A 20,310-nucleotide genomic window follows, 5' to 3' on the forward strand; every position below is an offset into this window, starting at 1 on the left:
GGAGTACGCTGAAAAAAAATTTTAGAAGGTTACTTAAGACAAATATTGCAATATTCATGTTGCATATATGGGGCATCAGGACTCCTCTGAACTGGTTTGTTTGGAATCAAGCCTGGAGAGCAATGCTTCGGTGTATAGAACATGTACAAGACTGGCTAGAGTCTTAAGTCTATTAATACATGTTAGAATGGTGTCTCTAAATATCTTTTTTTCCAGACAATATATTTCCAGTATTATTAATTTCACTAGTGAACACCCCTTTCTAACAATCATTCACAAATAAGCCATTGTTTTACAAATGAAAACCAATTATAGTCATGCAAAATAGCAAAACCTCTGTTGTTAATCATGTTAAGGATAGCTGAGGCTTGTATTTCAGATGAAAATGTAGCTGCCTGCCCTGGACTATGAATTCTGGATTAGGACAATTCCTTAAATGGTAATTTAAACAATTTTTATCTGATATCACACTGTCAATAGCAGACATATTTTGAAGTAAATCACACACATTGTTAAACTAAAAATTATAATTAACACATCTTGGCTGTTGGAAGTTAAATTTAGTATGTTTTTATAATGAATTTACTTCACAGATACACAGGTAATGATGAGTATAAAAAATCCACAGTCCAACATTTTTGTATATTTAGGGGGAAGTCTGTTAATGAGAATATGGTTACAAGTGAAAAGAACATGGCTTAAAATTCATACACACAAAAAAGTTTATCCTTAATTTCCAAAGAATAATGTATATTTTACTATTCCACTTACTGTAATTGGAGCAGAATGTGTAAATAGAATGCTTCTTTCTCCACTTCTGAAAATATTTTCCACCCTATAAGTTTAAGAACACCAAAATGTCTATGAACTTCTCACTTCCATGTGCAGAATTAGAAAGGTTACAAGAAATTTATTCCTATTTCTTGGTAGATCCATAAGTCAGATGACAGTTGTAAAAAGAGGTCAAAGACAGTAAAATTAAGTGACTGATGAACACATTTCTTTAGAGAAAGTTGTTACCCTAAACACAGTTCTCACTCCTTCTTTTAGGAAAGGAAAGGAGGTGGTAGTCCACGGAAAATTCTGTTTAGGTGCCTAACTCATAATTGAGGTCAATAGACAGTGAACTACTGAATACTTCTAGAGGTAAAGGAAAAGTGAGTTGTTTCAGTGGTAGAGCCAGAGAGTGAAGGCTGCTGCACTGTGTTGAAGTGTGATTAAAAACAAAATCTCAGCCAGGCGTGGTAGCTCACACCTGTAATTCCAGCACCTTGGGAGGCTGAGGCAGGAGGATCATTAGAGGTCAGAAGTTAAAGACCAGCCTGGCCAACATGGTGAAACCTTGTCTCTACTAAAAACACAAAAGTTAGCTGGGAATGGTGACACGCACCTGTAATCCCAGCTACTCAGGAGGCTGAGGCAGGAGAAATGCTCAAACCCTGGAAGCAGAGGTTGCAGTGAGCCAAGATCTCGCCACTGCACTCCAGCCTGGGTGACAGAGCAAGACTCCATCTCAATAAATAAATAAATAAATTAAATAAATAATAAAAATCTCAACCCAGAAACCCTCTCTAAAACAATAAAAGATAAATAAAATAGTTTTATTGTAAAATATACATTAAACCAGAATACAAAGCATATCACAGGTAATCCACTAAAAACAGTAAATCTCGAAGGAGGTTGCAGAGACAGAAAAAATCTTACCTTTTTACATAGGCAAGCAGAAAGAATTCATTACATATGTGTTTGAAAGACAAACAATAACCAGTCTTCAAGTAATAGGACTTGACTGCATAGCAAACTCACTTGGTAATTAGGCTGACCGTCTGTGGTAGCTAATAGGCTTTATAAAAACAAAAACAAAAACAAAAAAAAACTTCTCGTATGTGTGACAGAAGACAGTTTTGCAATGTTGTGCTACATGGTCTACCAAGTTAGTAGGCTCCTATCCCGCCACTGGGATAGGGCTCTATTTTCCTTGATTCCATTTTAAACAGGTGCCTCCCAGGTCCTAAAGAATGATATTCCTAGGTTATAAAGCTGGAATTAGGTTAATTTAACTTTTAAAAAGATTTATATATCTATCTCAAGGGGGCAGGGAAAGAATATGCAAGTACATATTTTTAAAAGAAAGTGCTCTGAAACAAAAAAAGTAGAGGAATATGTCTTTCTACGTGAGGGGGAGTTATTATTTTTTTCTTCTTAGTTTACACCTTCTCCTTGCCATTCAAATTATCCTGCTTGCCTAAAGTCTGTCAGAACAAGGAATGGGTGAATATTTCCTGTTGACCAGATGTGACTGAGAGAGAGAAATCCATGTAGGGTATGTTTTATCCTTTAGGGTCATGTTGGAGAGGATGAGGGAAGACCTCAGAAGAAAGGCTTGAAAGTATCTTGATGCCCAATGGCTACAGAAGGAGCTCTGAGAGGCACCCAAATCAGAGGTGCTTTCTTCCCACCTGAAGAAAGTTCTTCAGAGAAGGCCCACAGTAACATTTTACTGATAGAGAAAGTTAGCTTCTCCCACCTAGTGTGGCCATCCGGGAAAGCTACTTTAAATATATTCAAGCACCAAGAGTGTGAAACCAGCCAGCCGCATAGGACCTGACTTATCCTCTTATTTTGCCTTCCTCTTGAGGTTTTAACATGGCTAGGAACACATCAACTGCTGATCAACGGAGATGAGGCCTAAGGAAAAGAGTAGAGAACGTGCCCTTCCTGACAGCCAACCCCAGGCTGAGCAAGGCCCAAAAAGATGGGGGTAGTCATTGCTGCTCATATTGATGGGAAATTCCTGCTAGCACAGATACTCTTCACATTTATGTTTATTTTGATTTTCTTATTATAAATTTAACCCATATTCATTAAATAAAATATAAAAAGAAGAGAGAGAAAAAAATGACAATAGAAATTACTGTGTATTCTCATAATAAATTATTTATCCTTTAAAATTAAATGTTGATTCCACTATCCCTATAATTATATATTATCCTATTCTTTATTAAAAATACAGAATAATAGTTACAAGTATATACTTAGGGTCTTCCAAACTGAGCTTAGCTATTTAATAGGTGTATGACATTGAGTAACATACTGATTTTCTCTTTTCCTCAATTTTCTAACATATAAAAGGAAGCTAGTAAAACCTACATAATAAGGTTGTTGTGAAGATTAGTATGAGATTAAAAGTGAATAATTTATCACAGAGCCTGATATATAATATTTGGTCTGAATTGAAAGCTGTTGTTATTCCCAGATTGCAAGAATTTTTCCACATACTTGAATACTTGAATATACACTATTCCACATAGTTGAATATGGACTATTAAAAAATGTGCTAACCACTCCACCACATCCTCAATTATAGATTTAGTATAAATTAGAAATTTTCTTTTTGTAAAAATTCTACTGTAATTTGTGTGCTTCTTAACATTATATATACATTTTCTGCTCATCTCTTATTCTCTTGGATTATTTACTGTAACTATGCCAAAGGATAATAAAAATTCTAAATTTTTTTTAAAAATAATATTTTTATCTCTTTTTTCCCACATAGAATTTAATATAGGGCCTGCCCCATATTAGCTACTGATCAAAGATTTAAGAATATAATAAACTAACACATGCTCCACAGCACATGGATCACTCTTAAAGATAGACCATATGTTAGATGACAAAACAAGTCCTAAAATTAAAAAAAATTGAAATCATATCAAGTACCTTGTCAGATAACAATGGAATAAAACTAGAAATCAATAATAAGAAGAACTTTGGAAACTATACAAACACGTGGAAATTAAAGAAAATGCACTGAATGACCAGTGGGTCAATGAAGAAATTAAGAAGGAAGTTTAAAAATTTATTGAAACAAATGAAAATGGAAATAAAAGATACAAAAACCCTATAAGGTACAACAAAAACAGTAGTAAGAGGAGAGTTCATTGCAATAAGTGACTACATCCAAAAAGTAGAAAACTTCAAATTAACAACCTAACAATGTATCTTAAAGAACTAGAAAAGCAAGAGCAAACCAAATCCAAATTAGTAGAAGAAAAAATAATAAACATCATAGCAGAAATAACTACTAAAAATACAAAAAGTCAAATGATAGTGTTTTGAAAAGATAAACAAAGTCAACAAACCTTTAGCAAAACTAAGAAAAAAGGAAGTAGATTCAAATAAATAAAAGCAGAGATGAAAAAATAGACATTATAACTGGCACTGCAGAAACTCAAAGGATCATTGGAGACTACTATGAGCAATTCTATGCCAATAAATTGGAAAACCTAGAAGAAATGGATAAATTCCTAGACACCTGCAACCTATCAAGATTGAACCATGAAGAAATAATAATAATAACAAGTAACAAGATGAAACCATAATAAAAAGTCTCCCAGCGAAGAAAAGCCCAGGACTTGATGGTTTCACTGATGAATTCTGACACACATTTAAAGAGAGCTAATACCAATCCTATCCAAAATGTTCCCCCAAAAAAGGAGAGAATGCTTCCAAAATCACCATATCAGGTCAGGATCGCCCTGATGCCAAAACCAGATAAATACACAACAGAAAAACAAAACTACAGGCCTGTATCTCTGATGAACAGTGACCCAAAAATCCTCAACAAAATAGTAACAAACTGAATTCAGTAATGTGTTATAAAGATTGTTTATCATGACCAAGAGGGATTCATCTCAAGGATGCAAAGATGGTTCAGCATTTGCAAATCAATCAACATGATACATCACATCAACAGAATAAAGGGTAACAATGATGTGATCATTTCAATTGATATTGAAAAAGCATTTGATAAAATTCAACATTCCTTCAGGATGAAAACCCTCAAAAACCTGGGTATAAAAGGAACATACATCAACACAGTTAAGAGCCATATGTGACAGACCCACAGCCAGTATGACACTGAATGGGAAAAATCTCTAAGATCTGGAAAAAGACAAAGATGCCCACTTTTACCACTTTTATTCAACATAGTACTGGAAGTTCTAACTAAAGCAATTAAACAAGATAAAGAAATAAAATGCATTCAGATTGTAAAGGAAGAAGTCAAATTATCCTTGTTTGCAGATGGTATAATCTTATAGTTGGAAAAACCTAAAGACTCAACAAAGAAAACGTTTAGAACTGACTAACAAATTCAGTACAATTTCAGGATACAAAATCAACATTCAAAAGTTAGTAGCATTTGTATATGCCAACAGCAAACAATCTACAAAAGAAATCAAGAAAGTAACCCCATTTACAATAGCTACCAGCAAAATAAAATACCTGGGAATAAACATAACTAAATAAGTGAAAGATCTCTACGATGAAAACTATAAGACATTGATGCAACAAAATAAATAAAGAAAAAAATAATAAAAGATATTTCTTGTTCATAGATTGTAAGAATGAATATTGAAGTGTCCATAGGACCCAAAGCAATCTATAGATTCAATGCAATTCCTATCAAAATACCAATGACATTCTTCACAGAAATAGAAATAACAATCCTAAAATTTATATGGAACCACAAAAGACCTTGAAGGGCCAAAGCCTTCCTGAGCAAAAATAACAAAACAAGAGGGATCACATTACTTGACTTCAAATTATACTACAGAGTTATAATAACCAAAACAACATAATACTAGTATGAAAAACAGACACATAGACTAGTTTAACAGAATAGGAAACCCAGAAGAAAACCTACACATCTACAGTGAACTCATTTTTGACAAAAGTGCCAAGAACATACATTGGAGAATAGACAATCTCTCAATTAATGGTGCGGGGAAAACTGAATATCCATCTGCAGAAGAATGAAACTAAGTCCATGTGTCTCACCGTATTCAAAAAGCAAATCAAAATGGATTAAAGACTTATATCTAAGACATGAAAATATGAAACTACTAAGGGATCACGTAGGGGAAAATCTCCAGGACATTGGTCAGGGTAAAGATTTCTTGGGCAATATCCCAAAAGCAGAGGCAACCAAAGCTAAAATGAATGAATGAGATCACATTTAGCTAAAAAACTTCTGCACAGCAAAGGAAACAATCTACCAAGTGAAGAGCCAACTCACAAAATGGTGGAAAATATTTGCAAATTACCCATCTAATAAGGAATTAATAACCAGGTTATATAAGGAACTCATACAACTCTATAGGAAATAAATTGAATAATCCAATTAAAAATTGGGCAAAAGATCTAAATAGACATTTCTCAAAAGAAGACACACAAATGGCAAACAGGAATATGAAACGGTGCTCTACATTAGTGATCATCAGAGAAATGCAAATCAAAGCTATAATGCGATATCATCTCACCCCAATTAACATGGCTTTTATCCGAAAGACTATAATGAATACTGACAAGGATGTGGAGGAAAGGCAATCCTACTCTGTTGATGGGAACGTAAATTAGAGAAACATACAGAGATTCCTAAAAAACCAAAAACTAAACTGCCACATGATCTGACAATTCTACTGCTAGGTATATACCCAAAAGAAAGAAAAACACTATATTGAAGAGATACCTGCCCTCTCATATTTACCACACCACTGTTCACAATAGCCAAGATTTGAGGGCAACCTAAGTGTCCTTCAGCAAAAAAAATGAATAAAGAATACGTGGTCAGGGGTGGTGGCTCATGCCTGTAATCCCAGCACTTTGGGAGGCTGAGTTGGGCGGAGCATTTGAGGACAGGAGTTCAAGACCAGCCTGGCCAACATGGTGAAACCCTGTGTCTACTAAAATTACAAAAATTAGCCAGTTGTGGTGGTGCTCACCTGTAATCCCAGCTACTCGGGAGGCTGAGGCAGGAGAATCTTTTGAACCCAGAGGAGTAATTTGCATTGAGTTGAAATTGTGCCACTGCACTCCAGCTGGCTCCAGCCTGGGCGACAGAGTGAGACTCTGTCTCAAATAAAAAAAAAAATGTAGTATCTATACACAATGGTATACTTTTCAGCAATAAAGAAGAATGAATGAGAGTCTGTCATACGCAACCATATGAATATAACTGGAGGAGATTATGTTAAGTGAAATAAGCCAGACACAGAAAGATAAACTTTGCATGTTGTTACTCATTTGTGGGAGCTAAAAATTAAAACAATTGATCTCATGGAGACTCATGGAGTTAGAGAGTAGAATGGTAGTTACCAGAGGCTGGGAAGTGTAGTGAGGTGGGGGGAATAGGAATGGTTAATGGGTACAGAAATACAGTTATATACAATGAATAAGATTTACTATTTGATAGCACAACAGGGTGATTACAACAATAATTTTGTTACATTTTAGAATTACTCAGGGAGTACAATTAGAACATTCACAACACAAAGGGATCATGAATGCTTGAGGTGACGTATCCCCTGCTACCCTCGGGTGAGTATTACACATTACATGCCTATATAAAATATTTTATGTTCCCCATAATTATATACACCCACTATGTGCCCATAAGAATTACAAAGAAAAAAAATTAAACAAAAAAATTCTACAATAAAAAGCTAATACATGAATAAATGAATGGGTAAATGAATAAATAAATGAAATATGTATGTAATTAAAGATTGCCTTTCTGAAGATACTTCTGTATATAGTTTTCCATTCTTAGATAGCCAGATCAAAAATAAATAGTTCTACAGAATTTGGATAGGATTTCATTTTCTACAAAATTTGCTAAAATTATTTATTGGACATAATACTAAATCAATGTTTGTATGATCACAAATATAAAGTTCCCTTTAGGGAATCTTTAATTTAGCACATTTACACATTAACCTTACTGTAAAGCTTTCTGGAATTGACTTGGTAATCCTATTTACAGACAGGAATAGAGATTTGGTTTTGTTTCATTACAGAATTAGGAGTTTTACTAATGACTGGGAAATTGTTCTTGCTGAAGACGAGGGCAAACATTTTAAAACAAGAATAATTGTTTAGTGCAGAAGTTCTCAAACTGCTTTGCACATTAACATCTCTTTGAGAATTTTAAAAAATTTCAAAACTCAGCTCCACTCCCTACCCCCATAGACCAGTGAAATAATAATCTCCACCCCAAATCAATTAGGTCATAATCTCTGGGGATGAGACAGAGACATTCACATGTTTCACATTTATTTTTATTGAAGCATTCCAGCTAATGGTAGGCAAGTTTGGGAACTACCAATGGCTTGGTATATGATTACGTTTCTGGCTTATATTAGCAGTAAGAGCAGGCACTCTGCATTAATTTTAACATTCCACGAAGCACTGTTAAAACTTTATTTGAAAGCGTACTAAATCTGCTGTGGAGAAAAATATATCTTTGGAAATCCCAATGTGCATATTTATTGTACTTTTACCATTGCCCTATCAAGTAGCAGAAGCATGTTTATCTGTCATAGGAATAACCACATCTGAATAGAAATTCATATAGCACATTTACAACCATTTAGCTCCATGTTATAATACTGTATAAATAAACCTCATGAATATAGTAAGTAGCCCAGCTTACAAGATTTCTTAATATATCAGAAGACTTTTTTAAATTTGAAACTTTTAAATCTCTTAAGACTTCAAATTTTGTTTTTAATAAAGAAGAAATTAAGCTGAATTTTATCATCATTCTAGTAATCCTAGTGCATATCAATTTCTCATCAAATCTTCAATTAAAAATATCCATCATCATTGTCAAAGGCTACAAAGTCTCAGGAGAAATAAGCATAATTTTTTTGGAGATAAATTGTACAGCATGCTGAATATAGCTAATAACTTAATACCCTACATTTCAATATCACAAAGAAAGTATATTTCTAATGTTCTCATCACAAAAATGTTAAATATTTGGGGTGATGGGTATGTTAATTAGCTTAACTTAATAATTCTACACTGTATTCAAAATTCATAACTTTTTATGTTTGTTGGTCGCTTGTCTGTCTTTTGAGAAATCTCTGTTCATGTCCTTTGTCCACTTTTTAATGGGATTATTTGTTTTTTTCTTGTTGAATTGTTAAAGCTCATTGGAGATTGTGAATATTATGACTTTGTCGAATGCATGGTTTGGAAATATTTTCTTCCATTCTGTAGGGTGATGTTTACTCTGTTGATAGTTTCTTTTGCTATACAGAAGCTCTTTAGTTTCATTGGATCCCACTTGTTAATTCTTGTTTTTGTAGCAATTACTTTTGAGGACTTAGTTATAAATTCCTTTCCAAAGCCAGTCAGTGTCTAGAAGGATATTTACTAGGTTTTCTTCAAGGATTTTTTATAGTTTTAGGTCTTACATTTAAGACTTTAATCCATCTTGTGTTAATTTTTGTTTATAGTGATTGGTAGGGGTCCAGTTTAATTCTTCTGCATATAGATAGCCAGTTATCTCAAAGTTGTTTAATGAGTAGAGAGTCCTTCCTCCATTGCTTATTTTTGTTGACTTTGTTAAGGATCAGATCATTGTAGATGTAGATGTGTGGCTTGATTTCTGGGTTCTCTATTCTGTTCTCTTGTTCTGTGTGTCTGTTTTTGTACCAGTACCGTGCTGTTTTGCTTACTGTAGCCTTGAAATAATAGAAGAAGAAATAATAAATGTTTGAGGTGATGTAGATCCCAATTACCCTGAGTTGACCATTACACACTGTATGCATGTATCAAAATATCACATGTAGCCAATGTGCATAGCCATTACGTAGCAATAAAAAATAAAAACCACATATTTAAAATACATACAAATAATCAATAACTGGAGCTACAAGCCCATTAAGACTTGACTGACGTCTGCTCTTGAGGCTAGGAAGAGAGATATATAATAAAAAGCTATGTGTATTGAAAAAGCAAAGAAGGGAGAATGTACAATATGTTAAGATAGTGGAGATGAAAGAATAGAAAATTCTTAAGAGAAGTTAAAAAGATAGAGAAAACATCAGGATGAAGATAATATTTGAATTGAAACTTAAAGAATCTATGTAATTTCATTGGTATAGTTCATCTCCCAATTGTTGGAAACACATTCTCACCTCCTGCTGTTCAATCATACAGTTTTTCATGGAGCCTATGTACTGTAATAGCTCCTAAAAAGTCTGAACAAATTTAATTAAAATGCCATTTCAAGATAGAATATCTCCTGGAATTACTTATCTTTAACCATTCTATTTAGAATATTTTATAATGGAGGTATAATTAGCATACATGGAAAGCAAAGAAATAAATCCTCATTGTTAGTAACTTATGTTGAAATCAGTAACTACAACATCATGTCATTAAAAAAAATTAGGTCTAATTTAACTGGCTACTTGCCATTTTGTGACACATATCTATTTGGCACTGCCTCCATGAAAGTTATATTTTCTGATTCGTTTAACATGCCACAATTGCATGTTTGTGTATTAATAATTAATTAAACTAAAAAATAATTTTGAGGTTTCCAAGCCAATAAATTTTTACATGTGTGAGCCTGTAACAACAACAATAGCTAATATTTACTGAGGGTTTACTCTCTAGGCCAGGCAGGATACTAAGGGATTTACATGCATGATCTCCTCGAACTTTTACATAAACCTAGGGAGCTAGTTATTATAATGATCTCCATTATATATATTAACAAATGGAGGCCCAGAAGTATTGTCATTTCCAAGGTCACAGCCAATAAATAGAGACCTTAGTTTCAGCCCAGGCAGAAGTTCATTACCACATCCTTAAGCATGACAACTTTCTTCTACCTCTTATTTTTAGCTATAGCACTGACACCCCCATTCAAACATTATCTAATTTAAATTGGACATCTGTATTCTATACATTCATTTGCATACCACTGTTGCTTATTATGGAATTAGATTTGGAAGAATTTTATAGTCTGTTTGTGAGAGACTATTTATTTATAATATCCTTCCGTAGAATATGTATTATTTGGTTAAAGAAAAAGTGTATTCATCTATACATGGTATATATAGGATATTTATTTATATATGACCTCCTCACATGAACCAAAAAGTGGAAACTTCATTTATTATAAGATCATTATTCAACTCAGTTAAGTACCCAAAATAATCATTTGCATGCACTAGAAATGTATAATGAATGTTGAAGTGATGAGTGCATGAATGAATGAATGAATGCTCTATCCTCTGTAAGTGTCAGTTAACAAAGCTAGTACATGCATTATGAGACTGTGTGTGTGTGTTGATATTTTGACAATTACAGCAAGGGGTCAATTTGTTTATAACCCCTTCTGCAATGTAAAGAAGTAATTCCACTTTAAAGGAAATGGATGTGGGCATAGTTCATCATTCTTTTTTTGGCATTCAGAGAATAAATTCCCCCCTGGCTAGGATGCTAGGATAAGAGCTGCCTCTAAAACAAGAAAATAACCATAATGTATACTAACATTAACATGAGTGAAAAAGTAAAAACAAAACAAACAAACAAACACAAGTCAGTTGAAGTAAGGTGTGGAGATGAGAAATTTCAGTGTCAAGTAGTGCTTCTCTCCACGGTGGTTAAAATGTTCCCAGTTTATGTGAAATGTATGATTGATTCTCTTTCACTTGGAAGAATTTTACTATACCCAAAGGGAGAACTGTAAGATTACCGCTATTACTAAAATCAAACATCAGGAATGAAAATCCTACCCTCTGGCAAAATACATGTTTTAATAATCAGCTAAATATCCATATCAGTGTTGCTGCTGTAAGTTGTCATTGATAACAGAGCTATTTCGAATTTTAATGTCAACACCGCTCATGGCTTAGCATTACAAATTAGACAACCAAGGATCCCTGTATCCTGCATCGTTAAAGACAAATCCAATTCCAGAAAGCAGATTGCCATTATTTTACTATTCTGAACATATTTTCATCAAGGCATGACATTATTGGGCATGGATTTTATACTTTTTTATCTCTCTTATATTCCCTTTAGAATAGAACATTTTGACAATGGCTACAAAGACTTATTGTGGTATATGTTTATAAATCATTAACAAAATTATTGTCACATTGGTGTGATGCTTCTACTAAGACATAAACTAGATTATTTATTTTTCTAGGGGCAAGAAAAATAAATAACTACAAAAATGAGATGAAGGAAGGAAGAATAAGAGTCTGTTGTTAGATCTAGAGAACTTGAAATGAGAGTGATCTATTAAAACATTTATTAGCAATCTCTCGAAGGCCACAATAAACATCTGCAAACCAATGCGCTTCACTGTTCTAGAGAAGCACAAGTTTAAGAAATGCCATATATATCATTCATCACCTGCTTGAATAAATACTTTTTTATTGTCTTCAGAAAAGCATCTGTCAGCTGCTATGTTACCAGAACAAGTCAAAGTCTATTAACATTTATTGATGCTAGTATTATGAAATGATGAAACTTTAAATTTTTGTGTGAAAACAGATGACTGGGGCAAAGACAAGGGATTCTCACCAAGAAATTATCCTAAACTGACTACATTATTTCAAATATGCTTTTCTGTTTGCTGAAGGTGTGAAATGAGCCATTGTGTGAAATGTGCAACCTTTACTCAAGACATTTCAGTAGCAAAGACACTAAAAATAAAAGCAGAAATGTGTATCCCTCTACTGGCATTGATAATGTTGAATATTTTCTGTACTTGAATGATGCAGTAAGAAGCTGGTCACCTAAATCTATTTGGGCTCTTTCTCCAATATGCTGATACTTAATTGAACCTGGCAAAATAAGTCATCCCAAATTCAAATGACCCTCTCCACATTGGAGGCACTCATAGATGGAATAGCAGCTTATGTTCATTTCTGGACTATAACTGGGCAAAACCATTCCAGTTAGACTTTGATGTAAGAAAATAAAATGAACTGTACATAAAGAGAAAGCAGGATTTAACATAAAGTGAGTGTCCATAGTGCTATAGGATCTTCTTACAAGTATGTAAGTGAAAGTATCTGGGCCTTTAAGGTAGCACCAGAAAAGATTTTAATGTCCAGATTTTATGTCGCAGACTGAAATATGTCAGATGGTAGCAATGGGGCTTCTACACCATTGAATCAGCTAAAATGTCATCAGCATTTTAAATGACCAAAAGCAAGATACAAAATAAATAAAATTGTGTAAGTATAAAGATTTTATTGAGGAGAGACAAACACTACTCAAGTAATGCTCTAAAATTATTTTCTTTTTTTTTTGAAAAAATAAGATTTTATTTAACATAATTTTTTTCTTTATTATTATTATACTTTAAGTTTTAGGGTACATGTGCACAATGTGCAGCTTAGTTACATATGTATACATGTGCCATGCTGGTGCGCTGCACCCATTAACTCGTCATTTAACATTAGGTATATCTCCTAATGCTATCCCTCCCCACTCCCCCCACCCCACAACAGTCCCCAGAGTGTGATGTTCCCCTTCCTGTGTCCATGTGTTCTCATTGTTCAGTTCCCACCTATGAGCGAGAACATGCCATGTTTGGTTTTTTGTCCTCACAATAGTTTACTGAGAATGATGATTTCCAATTTCATCCATGTCCCTACAAAGGACATGAACTCATTGTTTTTTATGGCTGCATAGTATTCCATGGTGTATATGTGCCACATTTTCTTAATCCAGTCTATCATTGTTGGACATTTGGGTTGGTTCCAAGTCTTTGCTATTGTGAATAGTGCCACAATAAACATACGTGTGCATGTGTCTTTATAGCAGCATGATTTAGAGTCCTTTGGGTATATACCCAGTAATGGGATGGCTGGGTCAAATGGTATTTCTAGTTCTAGATCCCTGAGGAATCGCCACACTGACCTCTACCATGGTTGAACTAGTTTACAGTCCCACCAACAGTGTAAAAGTGTTCCTATTTCTCCACATCCTCTCCAGCACCTGTTGTTTCCTGACTTTTTAATGATTGCCATTCTAACTGGTGTGAGATGGTATCTCATTGTGGTTTTGATTTGCATTTCTCTGATGGCCAGTGATGATGAGCATTTTTTCATGTGTCTTTTGGCTGCATAAATGTCTTCTTTTGAGAAGTGTCTGTTCATGTCCTTCACCCACTTTTTGATGGGGTTGTTTGTTTTTTTCTTGTAAATTTGTTTGAGTTCATTGTAGATTCTGGATATTAGCCCTTTGTCAGATGAGTAGGTTGCGAAAATTTTCTCCCATTTTGTAGGTTGCCTGTTCACTGTGATGGTAGTTTCTTTTGCTGTGCAGAAGCTCTTTAGTTTAATTAGATCCCATTTGTCAATTTTGGCTTTTGTTGCCATTGCTTTTGGTGTTTTAGACATGAAGTCCTTGCCCATGCCTATGTCCTAAATGGTAATGCCTAGGTTTTCTTCTAGGGTGTTTATGGTTTTAGGTCTAACATTTAAGTCTTTAATCCATCTTGAATTAATTTTTGTATAAGGTGTAAGGAAGGGATCCAGTTTCAGCTTTCTACATATGGCTAGCCAGCTTTCCCAGCGCCATTTATTAAATAGGGAATCCTTTCCCCATTGCTTGTTTTTCTCAGGTTTGTCAAAGATCAGATAGTTGTAGATATGCGGCGTTATTTCTGAGGGCTCTGTTCTGTTCCATTGATCTATATCTCTGTTTTGGTACCAGTACCATGCTGTTTTGGTTACTGTAGCCTTGTAGTATAGTTTGAAGTCGGGTAGTGTGATGCCTCCAGCTTTGTTCTTTTGGCTTAGGATTGACTTGGCGATGCCGGCTGTTTTTTCGTTCCGTATGAACTTTAAAGTAGTTTTTTCCAATTCTGTGAAGAAAGGCATTGGTAGCTTGATGGGGATGGCATTGAATCTGTAAATTACCTTGGGCAGTATGGCCATTTTCATGATATTGATTCTTCCTACCCATGAGCATGGAATGTTCTTCCATTTGTTTGTATCCTCTTTTATTTCCTTGAGCAGTGGTTTGTAGTTCTCCTTGAAGAGGTCCTTCACATCCCTTGTAAGTTGGATTCCTAGGTATTTTATTCTCTTTGAAGCAATTGTGAATGGGAGTTCACTCATGATTTGGCTCTTTCTTTGTCTGTTATTGGTGTATAAGAATGCTTGTGATTTTTGCACATTGATTTTGTATCCTGAGACTTTGCTGAAGTTGCTTATCAGCTTAAGGAGATTTTGGGCTGAGACGACGGGGTTGGAAGTTCTGGCCAGGGCAATTAGGCAGGAGAAGGAAATAAAGGGTATTCAATTAGGAAAAGAGGAAGTCAAATTGTCCCTGTTTGCAGATGACATGATTGTATATCTAAAATTATTTTCTATAATGGATTCTTTTCCAGCTTCAATAAGTAAACTGACATATGGTGGCTTGTATTTCAGATGGATCAGCAATGACACATAAATTCAGCAAACCTAGCCTATCTGGTGAGCCAACATTCTGATGTGTACAGGCATCTACCATTACTTACAAGAAGTAAAGAAATCTATATATAAACTATTAAATGATTGTCTTTGTAGTTGAAACAAAACAAAGATTCATTATTTTCAGTTTTTCATGTTAATTATTTTTAAATCCCTATCTCTGGCATTTGGAAAGAGTGAGTAATTTTACTATATCAAGAGCACAAAATAGCCTTATCTACTAATGAAATTGTGCAGGAGGAATGAAGAACAGATGACTGCAACTATCACTACTAATATTTGGCCTTTTTAATAATTCAGAGCTTCCTAAATGAAGCATATATTACATATTTACCTTTAACCACTAATGCTTCATCAAATCTCACTAACAAATATAGCATTAATTTGGCAATCTAAAATATTCAGACAAAAATATAAGATCAGGGAAGAACTTCTAAATAGTCAAACAGCCACTCTAAGTTTGCTTTATGTAGAACATTTTAACTCCTCATAAAAGTGTGACAACAGTATTTCCAAAGTCATGTAAATTAGTTCCACTCTTAAGAGAAAATTTCCTAATATCAACTTTTAAAAAAAAGATAACTTGCACTCTACCAAATAAGAAACGAGACACAGAAAGTCAAACCAATAATGAAATTAATTAATTAATTTAAAAAAGCCCTCTGTGGTACACCATTGTTCTGGTACCTACCTCATTAGCCTTTGAGAGTATGTTTATATAGTGAAGAGTATATTACATGTTCATGTTGGAGATTTATTACTGATGTACTCACTTATTGATTTAATGTTCTTTTCTTGAGAGGGCACTATATGCCAGGCACTGTGAAAACGGTAAGAACAATATACTGATTAAACCTCTGTAGACCTAATACATATTCTAGAGAAACCAATAGTTGAGTAAGAATGACAATGAATTTCTACCACCCTAAGAAAATGAAGTCAAAATTTCTCAGTTGGTGGTTTAGAAATTTAGAAAACTTCTCAGTCAGTGGTGATTAGTAGGGAGTTAAACAAGCAACCAAGGAAGCAAGAAAGCAAGCAAGCAAACAAACAAACAAATAAACAAACAGAAAAGTAGAATTTCAGGGTAGGAAAAGGCTCCAAGTCAGTGACTCCAATTCCATCTCTTAGATGTTATCTCTCTTTGTGTTTCTTACAGTTCTATTACTGCTAGCACTAACCTAAGACCCTAACAAAATATTTCCAGAATGCAGCTCTAAATTAAGTAGGTACAAAAGGCCCCTCACTTGGTCTCTCTTTATAGTTGAGACAAAATAGAGGTATTACAAAGTCCTTTCTAAATATGAGTGGAGAATTACTTAGAAATAAACATGATGAATTACACAAATATTTAGTTCAATTTCCTAAATTTAATATCCTATTCTAATATCCATCACATATTCCTAAGGAAGAACTTCTAGTTTGGTGGAGCTGGGCTCAGTGAATCCTCTTCCTCTCACCAAAAATGATAAAACTAAACAAAATTGTTAAAAATGACCATGATAGAAATCTTGAAATTCATCACAGGCCTACAAATAATTAAGAATCGTTTATTTTTAAAAAGATAATGAATCTCAGGTAAAACACAGTTAAATCTACTGCAATTTAGCCCATGACTACTCCTACCCACCACTCATTTCCTTCAGAGCAGTAGTTATACCAGGACAAGGCAGGCCAAGAAAATGAAGGATATTGATGTTACAGGGCACTGACTTGATTTGGAGAAGCCTTGAAAAACCTCATGCCCAGGATCTTTGTTAAAAAATATAAACTTGGATAGTGAAACAAACAATAACAGCAACAACAAAAATCCAAAACAAAATAGCTTCTATTGCTCTAATTTTATAACTATGATATAGACTTATCAAATCAGTTTTTAAGATTTCATTTTATATAATTTTATTTTAAATCACTTAAGAAAAGAGACAAATGTATTTATACTGTCATTTATATTTACCTTTGTGATTACCTTTACAGACAACCTTTATTTTTTATGTGGTTTGATATAAATATATGCATACTGATATGGTCAATATCATATATGCATATCAGTATATTTATGTATATATATGTAGTTTTCTATACATACACACACACACCAGAAAAAAAATTAAAATGGTACACTAGAAGATATCTATTTAATACAAATTACAAAAGTAAAGAAGGAAAAGAGGAACAAACAGATATGAGACACACAGAAGACAAATAGTACTTTTGCAAACATAGAGCAAATCATATCAAAAATTACACTGAATATAATTAATTAAAAGGGAGAGAATATGAGGCTGTACTTAAGCCAAAATAAGATCCATGTGCATACCATATTCAAGAGATACATTTTAGGTTGAAAGACAAAAACAGGTTGAAAGTAAAAGTCCATTCTTGTGTTGCTATAAATACCTGACTGGGTAATTTATAAAGAAAGGTTTTATTTGGCTCATGGCTCTGCAGGCTTTAAAGAAAACATGGTTCTGGCATCTGCTTCTGGTGAGGCCTCAGAGAGCTAACAACCACGGTGGAAGGCAAAGGGGAGCACCAAATTACATGGTGAGAGTGGGAACAAGAGAGGGAGAAGGGGGAGTTCTCAGACTCTTTTAAACAGCCAGACCTTGTGTCAAATAGCTGAGAGAAAATTCAGTTATCACCAACGGGATAGTGCTAAACTATTTATGAGGGATTCACCCACATTATCCAAACATCTCCCACCTTGTCCCACCTCCAACATTGGGAATCACATTTTGACATGAGATTTGGAAGAAACAAATATTCAAACCATATCAAAAAAGATGGACAAACATATATACTATGCAAACAGTAAACATACATGATCTGGGAGTGCATGCAAATATAATAAAATATAGACGTTAAGAAAAAGCTATTACTAGAGAAAGAGAAAAATATTTTATACTGATAAAAAGGTCAGTTAATTGGGCATTATATATATATACATATTTTAAAAACATACTCACTGAGCAATAGAGACTCTAAATACATAAAGCAAAAACTGACGTAATTAAAGGGAGAAATAGAGAATTCAACTCTAATAGTTGTAGATTTCAATAACCTATTTTTAATAATTAATAGAGAAACAAGACAAAAATTAGTAAGAATATAAGATACTTGAAAAATAGTATCAAACCAATTGATATAACTGATATTTATAGAACACTACACCTAAAAAATCATAATATATATTTATGTCAAGTACATGTGGAACATTTCTCAAGATAGAGCATACACTATACCATGAAACAGGTCTAAATATGTTGAAAAATTTGAAATCATGCAAAGCGTGTTCTCTGATTATATCACAATTAGAAAAAAACAACAAAACAACATCTGGGAAATCCACAAATATTTGAAAGTTAAGCAATACACTTGTTAACAGCATAAGGATAAAAGAATAAATAAAAAGAAAAAGTGGAAAATATTTTGAAGTGAATGAAATCAAATCACAGCATATCTCATTTTATAGGAAACCATTAAAACATTGCTAAAAAGGAACTTTATAGCTATAAACACATATAATAGAAAAAAAGAAAGATATTAAATAAGTAATCTAACTTTTTACCTCAAGAAATAAGGGAAGAATCTCCTTATTGAAGGGTGGAGAAAGAATCTCTGAAAATCCACTCCTCCATAAAAGCAACAAAAATGTTTGCAAAAAAAAAATCAAAATCATTGAGAATTCTGGAAATTAAAAAAGTCTTGCAACCATTTGAACATTATTTATTTGTGATAAAAATGCTGAATCTAGGTAAGAAGAGTATGTTTTGTGGTGGTTTAATTTGCCACATTCCCACCTTCTCTTGTCCACTTCATGTTAGCCTCAAAAACCAACAGTTTGCCTGGGCGCGGTGGCTCACGCCTGTAATCCCAGCACTTTGGGAGGCCTAGGCAGGTGGATCATGAGGTCAGGCGATCGAGACCACAGTGAATCCCTGTCTCTACTAAAAATACAAAAAAGTAGCTTGGTGCACTGCTGGGCACCTGTAGTCCCAGCTACTCGGGAGGCTGAGGCAGGAGAATGGTGTGAACCTGGAAGGCAGAGTTTGCAGTGAGCCAAGATTGCACCACTGCACTCCAGCCTGGGCGACAGAGCGAGACTCCATCTCAAAAAAAAAAAAAAAAAAAAAAAAAAACCCAACAGTTTGACTATCACAATAACCATGAAAAGAGGCAGTGAAGGAAAAGGTAAAGTTTAAATTGCCTAACCAAGCATTGGAGGTATGTCTCAACGTTAACATAGAGCCACTTAGCAAAGATTCATAGACTTACTTGTTCAAGGCATGTGAGAAAAACTCTGTTCAATTATTACATGACCATCAGGCAAACCAAGCAGAGATGTCAGAAGCCACATACAGAATATATAGTTAACAATAAGTTGTTGTATATTTCAAAATAATTGTAAAATGGAATTGAAATGTTTCTAACACAAAGAAATAATCAATACTTGAGGTGATGGATACCCCAATTACCCTGATTTATTTGATCATTACACATTGTATGCTTGTATCAAAATATCACATGTACTCCACAAATAAGTACAATAGTTGTGTTTACATAGCAATTAAAAGTTTTTTAAAAATTAAAAACATACAAATTTTGCAGAATTAGTCCAGAAGAGTAATCAAACAATTAAACAAACATCAAGTGGCAACAACAAATAGCAACAATGGCAACCCCTGGCTGGGTGGTCTAATACTGAGTTGTCAGATTAAGTTATAGAAAGTGTTCAGTTTCAAAGATTTTCAAGACATGCAAAGAAACCAGAATGTATACCCATGTAGTGTGTAGGAGGGAAGATTAACAGAAACTGTACCAGAGGAAGTATAGACATTAGATTTGCTAGACAAATACTTTAAATGAACTACTGTAAATATGTTCAAACAACTAAACAAAACCATGTGTAAAGAACTAAAGGATTGGCTGGGCATGATGACTCATACATATACTCCTACCACTTTGGGAAGCTGGGATGAGTGGATCACTTGAGCCCAGGGGTTTG

At 34.0% G+C, this 20,310-nt stretch overlaps 1 long non-coding RNA gene across 1 annotated transcript in view; it reads left to right on the forward strand.

Moving 5' to 3' along the window:
* The window catches only part of LOC105375473 (uncharacterized), a 66,227-nt gene that overhangs the window by 35,327 nt on the left and 10,590 nt on the right, over window positions 1–20,310 (forward strand). Inside the window, exon 9 of the long non-coding RNA XR_927909.2 lies at window positions 7,297–7,380. This is a non-coding gene — a long non-coding RNA (uncharacterized LOC105375473). The remainder of the gene's footprint in view (window positions 1–7,296; window positions 7,381–20,310) is intronic.

The sequence above is a fragment of the Homo sapiens genome, chromosome 7 (assembly GCF_000001405.40).
Source record: "Homo sapiens chromosome 7, GRCh38.p14 Primary Assembly".
Classification (NCBI taxonomy): domain Eukaryota; kingdom Metazoa; phylum Chordata; class Mammalia; order Primates; family Hominidae; genus Homo; species Homo sapiens.